Source organism: Homo sapiens, chromosome 5, assembly GCF_000001405.40.
Source record: "Homo sapiens chromosome 5, GRCh38.p14 Primary Assembly".
Classification (NCBI taxonomy): domain Eukaryota; kingdom Metazoa; phylum Chordata; class Mammalia; order Primates; family Hominidae; genus Homo; species Homo sapiens.
This window is the reverse complement of record NC_000005.10, coordinates 95,810,916-95,829,235: the sequence shown is the minus strand read 5'-3', so window position 1 is coordinate 95,829,235 and position 18,320 is coordinate 95,810,916. Positions and strand designations below refer to the sequence as shown.

At 46.8% G+C, this 18,320-nt stretch overlaps 1 protein-coding gene across 4 annotated transcripts, besides 3 other annotated features; it reads left to right on the top strand.

Annotated features, from left to right (window-relative positions):
* Positions 5,262 to 5,762: an enhancer, noted in NCBI's record as "H3K4me1 hESC enhancer chr5:95159178-95159678 (GRCh37/hg19 assembly coordinates)". NCBI's record gives its function as "activates a minimal SCP1, AML or CMV promoter by ChIP-STARR-seq in primed H9 embryonic stem cells {active_cell/tissue: H9 hESC(primed)}" and the evidence as "EXISTENCE:reporter gene assay evidence [ECO:0000049][PMID:30033119]".
* Positions 5,993 to 6,082: an enhancer, noted in NCBI's record as "active region_22807". NCBI's record gives its function as "activates an Ori minimal core promoter by ATAC-STARR-seq in GM12878 lymphoblastoid cells {active_cell/tissue: GM12878}" and the evidence as "EXISTENCE:reporter gene assay evidence [ECO:0000049][PMID:35858748]".
* Positions 6,510 to 15,387, top strand: GLRX (glutaredoxin). 4 transcript variants are annotated; one of them, NM_001118890.2, is made up of 3 exons: positions 6,510 to 6,780; positions 12,610 to 12,729; positions 14,847 to 15,387. In NM_001118890.2, the coding sequence occupies exons 1-2, from the start codon at positions 6,574 to 6,576 to the stop codon at positions 12,721 to 12,723; spliced, it is 321 nt and encodes a 106-aa protein (NP_001112362.1). In that variant the 5' UTR covers positions 6,510 to 6,573; the 3' UTR covers positions 12,724 to 12,729; positions 14,847 to 15,387. The 4 variants fall into 4 exon arrangements, with proteins under 4 accessions (NP_001112362.1, NP_001230587.1, NP_002055.1 ...); NM_001243658.2 differs by having other exon boundaries at positions 14,429 to 15,387; NM_002064.3 differs by having other exon boundaries at positions 14,279 to 15,387.
* Positions 7,999 to 8,138: an enhancer, noted in NCBI's record as "active region_22806". NCBI's record gives its function as "activates an Ori minimal core promoter by ATAC-STARR-seq in GM12878 lymphoblastoid cells {active_cell/tissue: GM12878}" and the evidence as "EXISTENCE:reporter gene assay evidence [ECO:0000049][PMID:35858748]".

The window sequence follows — 18,320 nt, the reverse complement described above, 5'->3', positions numbered from 1 at the left end:
TTTCTAATCTAGCAATGGGCCTCATTTTCTCTAAAAGTGGTGGTCACTCCATTCCTTTTGCTAGTCTCTGGGTTAGGAATGAGCCTGTGATGCAATTTAACCAATAACACAAGGGGAGGTTTGGTGTGGGAAAACTTTAGATTAACGCTTTCCCATTGCCTCTGGAATGGTTGTTTGCAGACACGGGGCAACAAGAGAGACTTTCCAAATGTATGGCAGAGCCTGTAGGGAGGCAGCCTGTAGGGAGGCAGCCCGTACTCCTGACCTTGGCTGAACTTCAAGTCCCTCAAGTTAGGAAGATTTTCCTTATTCTTCTAGTCAGTTTGGGATCCAAAATATCAACTTTTCAAAGTTGCTGTGATGATTAGAGATCATGCATATAAAGCTCTTAGCACTGAGCCCAGCACACAGTAGGTACATAGTAAATGGTAGCTGTCAGTGTTACTGAGTTCAGTATCACACAGCCCTGCATAGAGGTAGAAGGCAAGGAAACATCTGTCCAGAGAGACTGCAGTTAGAGCCAGAGTCAGTGCCCCCCGCAGTCAAATCTGGAGAGGGCCAGAGAGAGCTTCCTAAAGAATTAGACTCTGAAAACAAGGCACGGCCCCAAACCAGAACCTTCATTGTCTGAGGTTGAAAAAGGCAGCTGGTACCAAGGCTCTCTCACCTGAGCCCCCACAGCAGCATGCCTAAGGGGCCACATGGGCAGCCATGCTTAGTGTAGCAGCCTTGAGGGCAGCTGGAGCAATGGCAGCCCACCACCCCCTGAGCCGCCCCTTCGTACCACTTCAAGCCTTGTGGAAGCCAGGACTGGTCCCAGGGTGAACACAGAGGGACCCTGAAAGTTTTGCCAGCTCCAAAGCATTCCTGTCACTCATTAGAGCCCTTCTGTGATCAAACTGCATTTAGGTACTCATTGTGTGACTTGGGAGATGTGACACCATCATTAATACATCAAACGTTTGACTACAAATCTATCCATATATAAAGTATGCCTGTTCCAGCTCCTTGGTGCCTGTGTGTGAACTCCTCCCTCTGCAGTGTGGTAAAGTTCCCCTATTCTCTGCCTGCTCTCCAGTTGTCTCTCCTCTCCCCACGCAAACCCCTAATGCTCTATCCATGTTCAATGTCGAGCACCGTTTATGTTGTTCTTCCTTTTCCTACTCCTTCTGCCTGCAATGCCCCTCCCTTCCTTGTACACTCAGAAGCTTCTTCTTATCCCTCAAGATTCAGCCTAGCTCTCCTTTGATGTGGGCCCTTTCCCCAGTCACCCTCCAGGTGGGAGTGACTACTCCCTTTGGTTAACCTAATGCCCATACACACTTCTGTTAACTAGAACACTTTCTAACACTTGTGTCCATTTTCCTTGTTTATATTGCCCACTAAACTATAAACTCCTAAGACCTGGGGCTGTATGATGGATGTTTGTGTTTGGCTGAGAGTAGTTGATTAATAAATGTTTGTTGGATGAATGGGTGGATGGATAAGAACCAGTGTGTATCTGTTGGGCTCTGGTAATGCAGAGATAAAAAGCCCTTTCCCTGCCCTCAAGGAACTCACTGTAGATGACAGAAAATTAATACAAAGGAACAATGACATGTGATGAGTCAGGGCGCAGTATGACATGTGAGCTCCATGGAGAGGCACCCATCCCATGGGGGAAAGAGGTGTGTGTTTTGGGGTACTTCCTAGAGGTGCTAACACACCATCCTGATCTGAGTCCCTTTGGGCCAGCAGGAGTCAGCCACACAGAAATAAGAGGAAGGGCACCCTGGGCACAGGGAGCAGCAGGTCCAAAGTGTGAGTGGCAGCAATGACGAAATGGCTCAGAGTCCACACAGTTGGAGCAAAGGAGAAATTGTTGCAGAACTTTCCCCTTAGTTCCGGTAAAACTGGGCTCTTGTCACACGACCAGGAAAGATTAGGCTTGCGGACACACAGAAGGGTGAGGAAAATGGAATTTATTGGATGAAAAGGAAAAAGGAAAAATAATTCTCAGCAAAGCAAGAGAGAGTCCTGATAGCAGGTTTCCCGGCTCACAGATTGAGTTCCAGGTCAGCACACAGGAACAGGAGAGGCCAGGCTCCTCCTCGCTGCAAACGGTGCAAACTTCCCAAAGTTCCATTCCGCCTTCCCAGTGCACAGGTGGGCATTATTCAGAAAGAATCAGTCAGGAAAAGGTGGGCCTCATCCAGGACCAGCAGTCCAATTTTTGTCTTTGTTTCTGGTATTTTTTGAGACAGAATTTTGCCCTTGTTGCCCAGGCTGGAGTGCAATGGCACGATCTTGGCTCACTGCAACCTTCGCCTCCTGGGTTCAAGTGATTCTCCTGCCTCAGCCTCCCAAGTAGCTGGGATTACAGGCGCCTGTCACCATGCCCAGCTAATTTTTTTTGTATTTTTAGTAGAGATAGGGTTTCACCATGTTGGCCAGGCTGGTCTTGAACTGCTGACCTCAGGTGATCCACCTGCCTTGGCCTCCCAAAGTACTAGGACAGCAGTCCAGTTTTTCAGCCTTCAGGTTGTTTTAGACTTGGAGGCAGGGTTTCACCAGGGACCCTTGGCTGCCTCCTGTCTCTAAAATGTTGGTGGGGAGGCTGGGATACGATGAACAAGGTAGGGAGGACCCATCACACAGGGCCACATCCCCACAGGGAAATCTGGATTTTGTCCTGGGGAAACATGGACTAGTTTTTTGTTTGTTTGTTTGTTTGTTTGTTTTTTGAGTTGGAGTCTTGCTCTGTCACCCAGGCTGGAGTGCAGTGGCACAATCTCCATTCACTGCAACCTCTGCCTCCCGGGTTCAAGAGAGTCTCCTGTTTCAGCCTCCCAAAGAGCTGGGACTACAGGCACACGCCACCACGCCCAGCTAATTTTTAAATTTTTAGTAGAGATGGGGTTTCACCATATTGGCCAGGCTGGTCTCAAACTCCTGACCTCATGATCTGCTCGCCTCAGCCTCCCAAAGTGCTGGGATTACAGGCATGAGCCACCACGCCCAGCCCATGGACTAGTTTTAAGAGGGAACAAGATAGGTTCTGTATTTTTAAAGATTGCCCCAGCAGCAGTGTGGAGTAGGCAGTGAGGCGAGGGTGGAGGTGCTACAAGAGGGAGTGAAGAACTAATGAGGGCTAGAGCAGCAGGAGCAGTCAGGTGTTCAGACCAGGGAGGCACTCAGGAGGCAAACTTGGTAGGGTTTGGCCACTATGCATAAGTGAAAGCAGAGGCCAGCACAGATGCCTGCCAGGTTTCCGCCCTGGCCGAAAAGGTACATGAAGGTGCATGCAGGCTCAATGAGCAGGTATGGAGGAAAGAGGGTGGCTTCAGGGGAGATTCAGTTTTGGCTGCCTAGAGGCTGAGAGGCCTAAGGAATCCCCAGGTGGGTCTTTTCAGTAGGCAATGAGATAGCCTTCCCTGAAGCTTAGGAGAGAGGTCCAGATAAGGAAAAACGTGATGCTCATCAGTAAAAAGCTGACAGCTGGAGTCATGTGTGGAGCTACGACCTCTCAAGGAGTGGGTGTGTACACAATGAGAAGATCAAGCCCCAAGATAGACCATATGTGTAGGCAAAATTCTTAACAAAGACACTGAGACAATATCCAATAGAAAGAGCAAAAAGATCATGCTGCAATGGGCAGTGGGAAGAGAACTTCCAGAGGCCTGCAGTGATCTACAAGGTCAAACCCTGCACAGTGGGTAAGGAAAAACCCTGAAGAATGTTCGTTTGTGGCCACATTTTTTGCAGCCCTCATCAGCCTGTGAGTACAAATGAAGTCACATTGGCCGGGCACGGTGGCTCACGCCTATAATCCCAGCACTTTGGGAGGCTGAGGTGGGCAGATCACGAGGTCAGGAGATCGAGACCATCCTGGCTAACACGGTGAAACCCCGTCTCTACTAAAAATACAAAAAATTAGCCGGGTATGGTGGCGGGTGCCTGTAGTCTCAGCTACTCAGGAGGCTGAGGCAGGAGAATGGTGTGAACCCGGGAGGCGGAGCTTGCAGTGAGCAGAGATCGTGCCACTGCACTCCAGCCTGGGCAACAGAGTGAGACTCCGTCTCAAAAAAAAAAAAAAAAAAAAAAAGAGTAACCACACATATTTCACTAGCTTGTTGCCAACCATCTGTAAAGCAGGACTGATTCTCCCCTAAAAAATGCCCTCACTTCCCACCCTCCAAGGTGTATTTTCTGAGAGTGCCTGGGAGTGTCTCACACAAGCCAAAGGAGAGTCCACACGTGTTAGTCCACACGCACACCCTCTTTCCATCCACAGCACTTGACGCATCTGCAGTCCCCATGGCGGCTTTCCATTGAGATGCCCTAAGGTCCATGCTGGGTTTCAGCTCCTGCTGTACAATGCAGCAGAGGCTTCTATGCTTGTCATTTTTCACTGAGTTGAAGCCACAGCATTTTCTGAGAAATGGAGAGGACACCCGTTCTTTGCCATCTCTTTGTCTCCCATTTTCCACATGGTGCCTCACAAAAAAATTGCCTTTAGCTTGTGCCTTATGGCCATCTGTCCTAAGGCTTCAGACACCAGGCAGTCCCCGGGACTGAGTGAGAGGCAGACAATAGTCTCCCTGGATCCCAGCCTCTTGGGGCAGGTGACTAATTTGCAAAAGGTCAGGATACCTAGCTAAATGGTCATTTGGTGACATAGAGGCCATGATTAGTGTCTGCCAACAATTCAGCAGAATGGTTGACAAGGTCAGATAACAACAAAATGAGAGAATGGAGGTGAGAAAGGTACAGACAGTAAATTTCATGAAAGGGCAGAGGCAGGAAAGCAGGAAATGGGGAGTGGTGGTGGTGGTGGTGGCTTTTAACTTGAACACAGTGGCAGGCTGAGGCACCAGGAAGGGAGGAGCCAACAACAGACCGGAGAAGAGAAAGGCTCTGAGTGAGTAGCAGGTGCAAGTCGTGTGGATAAACCTCAGGCTGAGGGAACTTAAGGCAACAGCCTGAGGGCCCTGAAACAGACCCTGGACCTCCTGGCAGGGGCCTCTGGAAGGAGCCTGGCCACAGGGTTCTGAGGTAAAAGAATGAAAAAAGAGAGGAGGCTCAGACTCTGTGGCAGAGCCTACTTTGGAGGGAAGTGGGAAGTGGGAAGTCCGGAGCCCTGACCACGTGAGGGGCCTCCCAGCCCTGCCACATCCTTTTCTCTGGACAGAGCTGTCACTTAGCTCCCCCTCCGTGACTCAGAATCTGGCTTTCTCATTTTGCCATTTTAATTCTAGTAACGATGAGAGTCACAGTAAAAAGCTGCTTCTGGGAGTGGATTTTCTTCCCTTCCCTTGATCGCAGTATGCTTGGGATTCCTCTTACGTGGCAGTCGTGGTGTCCAGCTCTGGCCTTGGCCCCGCCTCTTTGAAGATACTCTGGTTTCACCATAAAACTTCCTGGGGAAAGGATGATTCACGTTTAAAGGACATAGTTTTTCCTTGATTTGTTTATTTAAGCTACCATACACTAGAGGGGGCCGGAACTAGACCCAGGAGTAGAGGACTTTGCTTTGCGGGATAAGGAGAATGGGCACCCTGGGGAAGAGCGAAAGATTTCCTACTGTTACAACCCGTGTCTTATAACACTTGAAGTGAATGTGGTGTCTGAGTTACAACACTACTTCCCCTCACAAACAGTTAAAAGCAGAGGGTCACAAACATAGGCTCAACCAGAAAAAAAGATTCTCATTTCATCTGTAGTTTTGTATCAAGGATTGTGTTGGAATTTGCCTCCATATTAAACTGCTGTTCAAGGGTTACCAACTCAAATGGTTATGGGGTGAAGCCGGTGTCTCAGGCATGGGCCTGTCGTTGGGACCTGTGGCAAACCAAAGCCACTACTTGCCCTATACAAAGGGGGCAACAGCTGTCAGCCCCAGCAGCTTCCACTAAAAGGTGCAAGCTCTGTATTGCCCGACCTGACTTTTCAGAGAGAAGTTTTAAGTCCGAATTGTTTTGTGAGACCTCCAGATTTTTAAATACTGAGAATGAATTCCATTAAAAAGATCACAACAACAAACACCCACCATACAGTCCAAGCAAAATGCTGTGAGAGCAACCTTCATGAGGAGTGCAAAGTCACAGTTTCAATTTCACTTCTTCTAAAGAGATTTCCAAGTGTTCTGTTTCTTAAGTGATTCTGTTTGCATTTTAAAATACAACTGTATCTCCTAGAGGGAAAACAAGAATTTGCTCTAAGAAGTCACTGCCTCCTCAGCCCCTTTGTGAGTAAGCACTTTATGCTTCCCCAGAGGTGACTAAACTCTGATCATTGCCAATGGGCAGGCACTCCCCAAATGTCCAAGGACAACAAAGATACCCAGAGTGTCTTTCATAGCTACCAATGATTAAATAGCAAGTATTGCATTCCTGGGCATTGCTAACTAGTGAAGTATACCAGATGGAAATGTCTTCGAAGCTGTCCCTTTAAAACTCGAGCAAGCTACCAGGCAAACTCCGCCTCCAGGGAGGTTCCTTATTAAATAGGAGCCAACTGGCTGGGTCGGGGCTCAATACCCCAAGCAATACCTGCAACTGAGGATTCTTCCCGGGGAGACCGCAGCCCATCGGCATGGCTCAAGAGTTTGTGAACTGCAAAATCCAGCCTGGGAAGGTGGTTGTGTTCATCAAGCCCACCTGCCCGTACTGCAGGAGGGCCCAAGAGATCCTCAGTCAATTGCCCATCAAACAAGGGCTTCTGGAATTTGTCGATATCACAGCCACCAACCACACTAACGAGATTCAAGATTATTTGCAACAGCTCACGGGAGCAAGAACGGTGAGTTTCATTTTAAACGGCTAGGGAAAGGCTCCCGGATTGCCTTTTCTTGTCAGAGCTGTGCCTTTCTTTAGGATAAGGCTGCGGCTCCGTACTTCAAGGCGTCCAGAGGGCTGTGCGGGGCGGGGGGTGTGGGGGAGGGCGCCTTAGAGAGGATCTCGGTCACTTGAATGAGCGGCGGCACTGCAGCCAAAGGTCTTCACGGGGCAGAAGAGGGAGTACAGCTGATGTCTGCTGTGCGGCAGGGTAAGTGGGACCAGCAGCTTGCCGGTGAGTCCCTGGGGAATTATCTAGAGTCTTTGTTTTAAGCACTGCCAGGAAATGACAGTTTTCAGTTGGCAGGGCTGGAGGTGGAAGCTGGGGTGGAGGGCCGGGTGTGATGTGTTTGTTATTTAACATGAGATTCATGTTCTTCATTCTTTTCTCTAGGCTTTCTTTTTCTAATTTGCTCATTCTTCCTTATCTAATTCCTCCCACTGGAAAAATCTAATGTACCGTTATCTGCCCCTTGTTCTAAATTAATTATGGATGTTTCCAGGCCCCACATTGTAGGGAATCATAGCCTGGAGTTCTGGCCTGGCTCTTATAATGGCTGGCTGTGTGATCCTGGGCAAGTCACCACCCCAGTAGTCCTCAAAGATCCCAGCTGCAAGACCAGATTAGGTGACCTCAGAGTCCCATTTGCTACGAATAGACTGTGGGACCCTCTAAAAATTGCTCTCCTCCATCCGAAAGACTTCCCTCTCTTCAGCATCCTTGGCTTTGCGTCCTGGGCTTCAGGAGGGATGCCAGCCACATCACCTGTATCAGTTCTGCTGTGAGGTGGGATGAGAAATGTCCCACCAGCTCAGCTAAGTTCTCTTTTACGATGCACGAATTCTACAGCACAGTGTTAGGCCAAGCACATATCCTATTTCAGTTTTAGTTTGACTTACAAGGTTGTCTCTGGGTTCTGAGTATAAAGCATTGGAGGTTGTTTCTCTCCCCTTCTCTCTAATAAGAAGTCAGCATTTTGGTGCAGAAAGGGGGCTTAGTGTGTTATCCTACTGCTGTGTGCTGAGGTCCTGGAGTATACACAATGACGAGAGAAGCTCTTGCTGCCTAGTGGGACCACCAGCTGCATAGGATGCCCAGGCCCTGAGAGGTGTAAAGGGCAGTGCAAACACTACTACGGGCCCCACTGTGGCTGCCACCCTGAGGACCTTTTAGCCATTGGTTCCCAAACTTTGCTGCACATTAGGATCACCTAGAGAGCTTTTAAAACAATCCTTATGCCCAAATTATGCCCCTCAATAACTAAATCACAATGTCAGAGGTGGGAGCCAAGCATTAGTTTTGTTTGTTCGTTTGTTTTGAGACAGTTTCATTCTTGTCACCCAGGCTGGAGTGCAATGGTGCAATCTTGGCTCACTGCAACCTCTGCCTCCTGGGTTCTCCTCAACCTCCCAAGTAGCTGGGATTACAGGCGCCCACCACCATGCCCAGCTAATTTTTGTATTTTTAGTAGAGACGGGGTTTCACCATGTTGGCCAGGCTGGTGTCGAACTCCTGACCTCAGGCGATCCACCTACCTCGGCCTCCCAAAGTGCTGGGATTAAACGGGTGAGCCACCACACCTGGGATTTTTATTTGGAAAAATCCCTTGGGGATTCCAATGTGCAACACAATTGGGATTATTGTTCTCAGCCCAACAGCATCTATTTTCCAGGAGGTAAAGCAAACCTCTTCATGTGTTCATTTAACAATTGCTTTTTTTTTTTTTTTGAGATGGAATTTCGCTCTTGTCGCCCAGGCTGGAGTGCAGTGGTGTGATTTTGGCTTACTGCAACCTCCACCGCCCAGGTTCAAGCAATCAAGTAGCTGGAATTACGGGCACCTGCCACCACACCTAGCTAATTTTTGTATTTTTATTAGAGATGGGGTTTCACCATGCTGGCCAACCTGGTCTCGAACTCCTGACCTCAGGTGATCCACCCACCTCAGCCTCCCAAAGTGCAGGTGTGAGCTACCACACCTGGTCAACAATTGCTTTTTCATTTCTTTGTAGAACAACAATATTTCTTGTAGTAATCTTTTAAGGTTTTTTTTTTTTTTTTTTTTTTTAAGAGACAGAGTCTTGCTCTGTCACCCAGGCTAGAGTGCAGTGGTGCAATGATAGCTGACTGCAGCCTCGAACTCCTGGGCTTAAGTGACCCTCCCACCTCAGCCTCCCGTGGCTGGGACTACAGGCATGAGCCATCATACCCAGCTAATTTTTTAAGTTTTTGTACAGATGGGGGTCTTGTTATGTTACCCAGGCTGGTCTTGAACTCCTGGCCTCAAGCTATCCTCCCACCTCAGCTTCCCAGAGTGCTGGGATTACAGATGTGATCCACCTCAACAAGCCTGTTTTTCATTTTTAGAAAAATGTTTTTCACAGATTCTTGAATTCTGAGTGCATTCCTCCTAGGGGAAGAACAAGCCTTTTAAAGCTGCATGTTTGATCCCCAACAGGGAAGTGTTTGTATTCAAAGGGTCTGAAAGCTCCCGAGGGTTTTTTTTTTTTTTTTTTTTTTTTTGAGACGGAGTCTCCCTCTGTGCCCAGGCTGGAGTGCAATGGCGCAATCTCAGCTCACTGCAAGCTCCACCTCCCGGGTTCACGCTATTCTCCTGTCTCAGCCTCTCGAGTAGCTGGGACTACAGGCGTCTGCCACCATGCCTGGCTAATTTTTTGTATGTTTAGTAGAGACGGGTTTTCACTGTGTTAGCCAGGATGGTCTCAATCTCCTGACCTCGTGATCCACCCGCCTCAGCCTCCCAAAGTGCTGGGATTACAGGCGTGAGCCACGGCGCCCGGCCTGATCCTGCAGTCTTAATTATTCTATAAAGTAGCTGTATCTAGTAGGTAATCAGCAGGACATGATTATGGAAAGTTAGTGGCTTCAATCAAGCCATGTACTTGGTAAAACCTGTTTTTGTTTTGCTATAGTCACAGCTCCTAAATTAGTGCCTTCATTTATTTCTCCTCTAATGCACTTTTCTTTACATAGATCTGAGTTTCTGAACTATATCATTTCCCTTCTCTCTGAAGAACTTCTTTGGGCATTTCTTGCAAGGTGATTCCATTGGTAACACATTCCCTCAAGTTTTGTTTACCTTAGAAAGTATTTCTCCTTCGCATTTGAATGATGATTTTACTGGATGCAACAAATATTTTTAAGCACCTACTATGTACCAGACACTTTTATGTACATTGGGGAAAAAATTCTGCCTTTTCTGCCATGAAAAAAACCCTTCTGCCTTTGTTGAACCTATATTCTAGTGGGGGAGACAAACAAATACAGTAATAAAACAGTATGTTGGGAGTTGGTAAGTGGCACGTGCTATGAGGAAAAGTAGGAAAGGTAGGGAGGAAGCATCAGGGTCCAGTTTTAAATGGAGCCATTGGGTCTCACTGAGAAGGGAACATTCGAGCAGATATCTATAGGAGCTGAGGGAGATGGGTGTACACAATTTACAGGTAGAGTGAATGCAAAGGTCCTGGGGTAGACGTTTGCCTGGCAGGTTTGTGGAATAGTAAGGAAGCCAGTATAGTTGCAGCACTGTGAGCCAGTAGGAGAGTTAGTGGAGGTGAGGTCTGAGAGCTAATAGGAGCTTGGAAGAACTGTGACTGGTACTCGGTGTGAGATGAGATGCCCCTGGTGGGTGCTGAGCAGACGAGTCACTTGATCTGACCCCATTTTGAAAGGGCCACTCTGGCAGCTGTGGGGAGAAGAGACAGTAGGGCAAAGGTGAAGGTTGAAGCTGGGAGACATTGGGAGGCTATAGTAGTTATTCAGGTGACAGATGAAGGTGGCTTATACCAGGGAGGTAGCCGAGGAGTGTTGAGAAATTGCTTTTGAGTAGTTGCATTTGTGTAACCCTAGCTAGCGTACAGGAGATGTTGCCTGGCTGAGGCTGGGGAAACCTAGTGCAGGAGAATAAGAACCACAGGATTACCAAACTCGTTTTGGGGTGGCAGTTCTTTCCTCTCCTTGACAGTAGCGGACTCTCAAGTTCCTCTAAAGAGGAGGCTGGGACGGGAAGGGACAGGAGGGGAAGCAGCACAGGGTATTTCCTCTTCTTTGCTCAACTTTATCAACAGTACTTCTTGCTTTGGTTTCACTGCCACAGCACCCCCGTGCCGTCTGTACAGCCTGCCATTCAGCTCCCGTTAGGGGTACCATTCACTGATACGATTTATGGCAGTTTTGCAGTTGTCCAGACTAGAGGATGGGTGTGAGGGTAAAGGAGCCTTTCGCTTCTTTGCCAGACACTGAGCACAAAACTCCACGCTGGGAGCAGCCTGGTCACATTTCAGGGTCATCTCAGGAGGCTGGGGGGCAGCTCCAGGGCTGTGGGTTTTCAAAGCCTCAGTTATCCTGTGAGAGCACAGGGAATAGCCATGGAAATGTGCAAGATTTGTTTTTAATTTTTAGACTTTATTTTTAATGCCTACCTTCACCCAGACCCCCTTTTTAATAAAAGTGCTGTAAGAACTTATCCACAATAATGAAGCCCCTTTTCTCACCTTTCTCACTTTTTGGACAATTTGCTCCAATTATTATGCTTTCTGAGGAAAGCCCAAAGCTTTGAAAAATAGTCTCATTGCTTTCTGCCTCCACCTCTCCCTCCCCTCCAGTGCGTTCCTGGTACTCGGGGAGAGGCCCGCTGGCTCTGATGACGCGGTGACCTCCATGGGGCTTTTTTCTTCACTGCCAGGCAGCCTTGGTGGAACACTCCTGGCCTATAAATTCAGCCACGTTGAGGGTATTTCCTCCTCCCTCGCGATTCTAAAAGCCCTCTGGAATTCTGGAATGTGTCTGCTCCTAGCAGCAGGGAGGAAGTGTGTAACTAGAGAGGAGCCTATTCAGCAGGTGTCATGACTGTGGCTTGGCGTGGGTGACGCACCCTCATCCGGGGTGAGTTAACCATCTTATGATGGACCAGCGATTAAAGGAGACTCAAACACCACTACACCCCCCTGGTTGAGGACAGAGCTCACTTGTGTTGCTTTGTTTTGCTTTCTTTGTTTTGCTCTGTCGTCCAGGTGTGAGTGCAATGGCACCATCACAGCTTACTGCAGCCTCGACCTCCCGGGCCAAAGCAATCCTTCCACTTCAGCCTCCTGAGTAGCTGGGACTACAGGCATGCACCGCCATGCCTGGCTAATTTTTGTATTTTTTGTAGAGACGGGGTCTCACGATGTTACCTAGGCTAGTCTTGAACTCCTGGGCTCAAGCGACCCTCCCACCTCAGCCTCACAAAAGTAGTAGGATTACATTCATGAGCCACTGTGCCTGGCCCTCACCTGTGTTTTAACAACACAGAGAGATGATTGTACTTAATAAACCATGGACCTGAAAAATCAGAGACGTAATGCAAATACTTTTCCAGCTGTATTTAGAAACGAACTCCTTCCTTCCTGATTGCTGTGACCCAGTTTACAATCTTAGGTGTGGTCCCTGATGCAGAGAAAGCAGAGTTCAATCTAGGTGGTCTGACTGCAGCCAATCAGAATTCTCCTTCTGAAACATGTTTCTGTAGAGTGAAATTTTTAAATCCCTTTGACAAGTTGGACAAGCTCATGCATAGCACACAACTTGAAAACTCTTCTGGCGTAAAAACATTCTCGAGTTAATAATGTTACCCCTTATAACAGAAAGGAAGTCCTGTCCTGTGAGCATATACATAAGGAGGTTTTAAAGTGATTTGAAAAGTTTGGAATCACGGGAAATATTTAGTGGTAGGATAGAAATGTTCTGTCTAATCTAGTAATGTAGTAATGTCCTGGGTCGTGTGCTTTTTTAGGTGCCTCGAGTCTTTATTGGTAAAGATTGTATAGGCGGATGCAGTGATCTAGTCTCTTTGCAACAGAGTGGGGAACTGCTGACGCGGCTAAAGCAGATTGGAGCTCTGCAGTAACCACAGGTGAGTGGCAGGTGAGGTGCTGGGCCAGGAACATGGGAGACCGTGGAATTCTTCTGTCGTGGTTTGTTATACTGTATGACAGCATTCTGGTTGGGGGAAGAAATGATTTGGGGTGAGTTGAGGAATGGTGATGTCAATCACTTATGAATTTCACACTTTACAAAGAGATCGTGTCAATGAGAGAAATCCTTTCACTCAAGCTTCATTTAAGAAATATTTATTAAGCATGTGCCAGACACATGAGAATATAATGATGCATAAAATGATAACCTGGAACTTATATTTTAGAGAGGTAGACAGATCAAAAACAAGCAAATCCTGAAATAGAATAGAATAATGTGACAGAATATGTCATGGGGTGGGGAGAAAATTGAGCTAACATGGTAAGGGAGGGCCTTTCTCAGGAAGGGTTGAGCTGAGACCTGGTTAACAAGGGGACTGCTATGCAGAGATGAAGCAGAAGAGCTTTTCAGGCAGAGGGAATAGCAAGTGCAAAGGCTCTGAGGTGGCAACAGGTAAGGGATGTTCGTGGAACAGAAAGAAAGCAGGAATAGAGTGAATGAAGTGCAGTGAAAAGGAAGAATAGCGAGAAAGGTGGGCAGGGGCCAGAGCACCCAGGCCATGGTAAACAATTTGGATTTATTCAAAACGCAATGTGAAACACAGGTCATTTTGGCTTTACCTGTGTTCACTTGGCAAATCAACTCTATTTAATTGGCTTCCCAAAAGCCAAAACAAAGTTTTCTAAAATCAGTAACCTAAAGGAGATCTTTGGCTCTGTGGAAAACCACAGGGCGATGAACATTTCAGAAGGGAACCGTGATGGTTTTGGAGTCTGAGCTCCTCCCTCCCCCAGTTCCCCAGCACAGCTAGCGCTAGCTAGCTCCCAAGCAGGCCAATTCAGAGACCTGTACCCAGAGAGATGTAAATGCTGCTTTAGTTGAGGGAGAAATGAATGGTTCTTTAACCAAAATGTTCTTGGAGGGGTATCTATTGCCTGCTAATTAATAACTCATTTCTTGGGCAATGAGTATACATTATTTGTGATGGTTACTCAGCATAGCAACAGAAGGGGGAAAAAGGTCTGAAAAAATACCACTGATTTCTCTGAAATGAAATAGTCAATGCTATAAATCTTCTAATCAGAATTCTACGATATCATCACAGCAGGTGCACCCTATGTCTGTCTGAGTTCACTTCCTGGCCTTACCACTGGTACTAAAAGCACTCAAACCCAATTAATGGTTTCCTATTCTGGGACATGTTTAGCAATTTAGGCTTAGATTAAGAATGAGAGAAGATGGGAAATGTTATTTCTCCAACTGCTTCTATTTTGGTGTGGGCATTAGAGTCCCCCATATTCAGAAAGTCTCCTTATTTGCATTTGGCCTTTTCCTTCAGTGTTCTATGCTGTCAGTATTTTACTGGCAGCTGCATCTCAAGGCCATCTGCAACAGAGTGTGTTTAAATGGCAGGTGTAAGTGTTCTGGTAATGAGAGAAAGGAAGGATTTTGCCTTACAAGGAGATCCCTTCTTTCTTTCCTGGCAGAACAGGCCCCATGCTGACGTCCCTCCTCAAGAGCTGGATGGCATTGCAAATGATGACAGCACTTCTGGTGGATGAATTTGGGGGCACAAACAGCTTTTTTCCTCTTTTGGCTCAGTATTTAAAAGTGGACCAACTTGCTCTTAATCACAGGGCCAAGAAGGTTGACGGGCCATCTTGGTTTTCTTCTGGATGTGCTCTTTGGTTTTCAGAAGACTGTGACAAGTTCTGGCCCAGGATTCGCTCACTGACCCTCAATTGTCCTCTTTGGCATGCGTTTCTTACTGTTCTCCATGTGTCGGCATGTCTCTACCTCTAAGCCAGTGTTTTTCAACTATGTTTATCCAGACTCCTTCTCCACAATGATGAATCCACAGTTGGTTATCTGCTACTGCCCATTAGCTAAAATCATTTTGCTGCTTGACTTTATGGAGTTTGTATTATGAAATCAGTGGGTATTTTGAATGTGTTCTTTCTAACTACATGCATCTCTCCACTCAACTCCACCCCATCCCATCCCACCTTGAAAATCACTGCTCTGAACCAGTGTTCTCCACCTTGTCCTCCACAGATCTCATAGGAAATGTTCAACAATTCTGTGAAAGGTCACAGGACCCAATTGGAGAAATCATATGAAAAGCATAGTTGGTCTTGGTGTCATATGGATCAGAGGCACAAGTGCAGAGGCTGTGGTCATGCGGAACACTCTGTTATTTAAGATGGCTATCCAGATAATCCTGAACACTGTGTATTTATTTTATTTAGACTACCAGCAAAGATTAAAGCATGAAATGTAAAACATCTGATAAAACTTACAGCCCCCTACACCAAGAGTGTATCTGTGAAAGAGCTCCTACACTTTGAAAACTTAAGAATCCCTTATCATGAAGTTTGCCTGTTCTAGAATTGTAAGATTGTTAATTTCCTTCAATCTCTAGTGACAACACTTAATTTCTTTTCTAATAAAAAAAACCTATAGATGATTCAGTGATTTTTGTCCAATTCATTTGCATGTTCTCAAGACATTAAGGAATGTTATGCGAAATACACTAACTTAAAACTGTGTTTATATTTGGCCCTGCCATTATAAATAAAGACACGTGCTGCTGTCACTCACTGAGTACAAATGGCTGATATAATTTTGAAATTTCATATTGAAATAAATGCCAGCCCTGGCTTACTGAATAATGCTTAGGGTTTAATAACAGTCTTTTTCATTTCATATTCCTTTTTGCCATTTCCCACTTAAGGCCCTTGTACTTCTCGCTTCTTTCTTTTGTGGGCCCTAACCACTCCCTTCAACCAGGATTGCTATGATAATTGTTCAGTTTACACCAGGATTGCTATGGATAATTGTTCAGTTTACACACTGCACAATATGAAAGCCCTCCCACCGGAGGTTATAGTATCTGATCCACTCTGGACCACTTGCCTGCACTTTCACACTTCTTTGTCCATGTTCATTGTGTTTCTTTCTCCTGAGATGCCTTTTCTTCTTTGTTTTACTTTGAAACTCCTCCTCGTTCAAGGCCTGATTTACAGATCATTTCCCCTATATTTTCTCTCTCCTCTCATGGCCTTTTGACTGAAAAATCATCGTTCCCTCTTCTGGAATTCAAAAACACTGTGCATGTAGATACTCTACAGCTCTTATCAGGCTATGTTGTAGTTAATCATCTGTATTGGTCTCCTGCCAAATTCAGAAGTACCCAAAGGTGACTGGGCGCGGCAGGTCACACCTGTAATCCCAGCACTTTGGGAGGCTCAGGCGGGTGGATCATGAGGTCAGGAGTTCGAGACCAGCCTGGCCAATATGGTGAAACCCCATTTCTACCAAAAGTAGAAAAATTAGCCGGGTGTGGTGGCACGTGCCTGTAGTCCCAGCTACTCGGGAAGCTGAGGCAGAAGAATTACTAGAACCTGGGAGGTGGAGGTTGCAGTGAGCTGAGATCGTGCCACTGCACTCCAGCCTGGGTAGCAGAGCGAGACTCTGTCTCCAAAAAAAAGTACCCAAAGGCAAGAACCTAGACTTAACTATGGAAACCCAGTTCCCAGCATAGAAGAGCTGTTTTATCAAAGCAATATATGCATACGGTTTAAAAAGCCAAATAGTACTAAAAGTCTTTCCTGCTCTATCCGCCTCAAACCCAGGTCCTGGTAAAGTACCTTACAGGGCCGTGTGCCCCTCCCCAAGGGTATTCCCTCTCTCCATCCCTCCATAGAGGTAACCACTACTTCATTTTTCTTGTAATCATTCTGATACTTTATAGTTTTACTCCTTATAATATCTCTAAGCAATACATTTTACTTTTGAAAAACAATAACACCGACCTAGCTGTGTAAGAAAAAGGTGATATCACAATTAGACGAACAATCCCAAGAACAGGTAAACTGAACATTGACTCTGAGTTATAGACTGGCTTCGGCATCCCTTGGAAGTTTTCCAGAGCCTCTTCTGGGGAAGCAGAAGTGGTGCTGAGTGAGTCCTTGGAAACACGGCACCCCACGATCAGGGAGGCTATTGTGTGAGCCAAGAACGGGGTGTCCCCCAGAAATATGGTAACGGCAGAGGGCTGCTCTGCATTTTCTGCTTCTAAGCTCAGCATGTCCCTGCCCCCAGCTTTCAGGAGGAGATCAAAGCACACCCACACCTCCTCAGCTGGCCAGCTGTGTAGCAGGGAGAACGGAAATGTCATCGGCACCAGGCAAGCCAAGTACAGATAAGGATCTGCTTCAGGCCCATTTCAGCTTTCTGTCCTCAAGTTAAAAACTATACAACTACAGAGAACCCTCAACATGGAAAATTACACTGCTCCAATCTGGACTGCTGCCCTCTGTCCTGAGGCAGGCAGAGTTCTCTATCTGGGATCTCCCTTCACTGTCATTCTGGGGATTCCCTTTTTCTCTCCTATGTTGGGTCTCCTCTTTCCTGTAGCCCACATGTATGAGTTAGAATACATGTGAAGGGGGCCAGCCCCTCTACACCTGTGGGTATTTCTCGTCAGGTGGGATGAGAGACTGAGAAAAGAAATAAGACACAGAGACAAAGTATAGAGGAAGAAAAGTGGGCCCAGGGGACTGGCGCTCAGCATACGGAGGACCCAAGCTGGCGCTGGTCTCTGAGTTCCCTCAGTATTTATTGATCACTATCTCTACCATCTCTACGAGGGAGATGTGGCAGGACTATAGGGTAGTGGTGGGGAGAGGGTCAGCAGGAAAACATGTGAGCAAAGGACTCTGTGTCATAAATAAGTTTAAGGAAACATGCTGTGCCTCGATGTGCATGTAGGCCAGATTTACGTTTGACTTTACGCAAACATCTCAGTGCAGTAAAGAGCAGTATCGCCGCCAGCATGTCTCACCTCCAGCCATAAGGCGGTTTTCTCCTATCTCAGTAAATAGAATGTACGATCGGGTTTTACACCAAGACATTCCATTCCCAGGGATGAGCAGGAGACAGATGCCTTCCTCTTATCTCAACTGCAAAGAGGCCTTCCTCTTTCACTAATCCTCCTCAGCACAGACCCTTTACAGGTGTCGGGCTGGGGGACAGTCAGGTCTTTCCCTTCCCACGAGGCCATATCTCAGGCTGTCTCAGTGGGGGAAACCTTGGACAATACCCAGGCTTTCTTGGGCAGAGGTCCCTGCGGCCTTCCGCAGTGCACTATGTCCCTGGGTACTGGAGACTGGAGAATGGTGATGACTTTTACCAAGCATACTGTCTGCAAACACATTTTTAACAAAGCACATCCTGCACAGCCCTAAATCCATTAAACCTTGAGTCACCACAGCACATGTTTCTGCGAGCACACGGTTGGGGTTAGGGTTACAGATTAACAGCATCTCAAGGCAGAAGAATTTTTCTTAGTACAGATCAAAATGGAGTTTCTTATGTCTTCCTTTTTCTACATAGACACAGTAACAGTCTATCTTTCTTTCCCCCACAACATGCTAGGCTGCTATAACAAAGATATAATGCCTGATAGAAGCTTCTTTATCAAAAAAATTCCAGAGGCAGGCAGGTGGCATTTGCTCCAAGGGTTCA

Bases quoted from the DNA above. Each gene is read 5' to 3' on its own strand.
- GLRX (NM_001118890.2), top strand. From the start codon at position 6,574: ATGGCTCAAGAGTTTGTGAACTGCAAAATCCAGCCTGGGAAGGTGGTT. The intron at 6,781-12,609 runs GTGAGTTTCATT...GTGCTTTTTTAG, and splicing joins AGCTCACGGGAGCAAGAACG to GTGCCTCGAGTCTTTATTGG.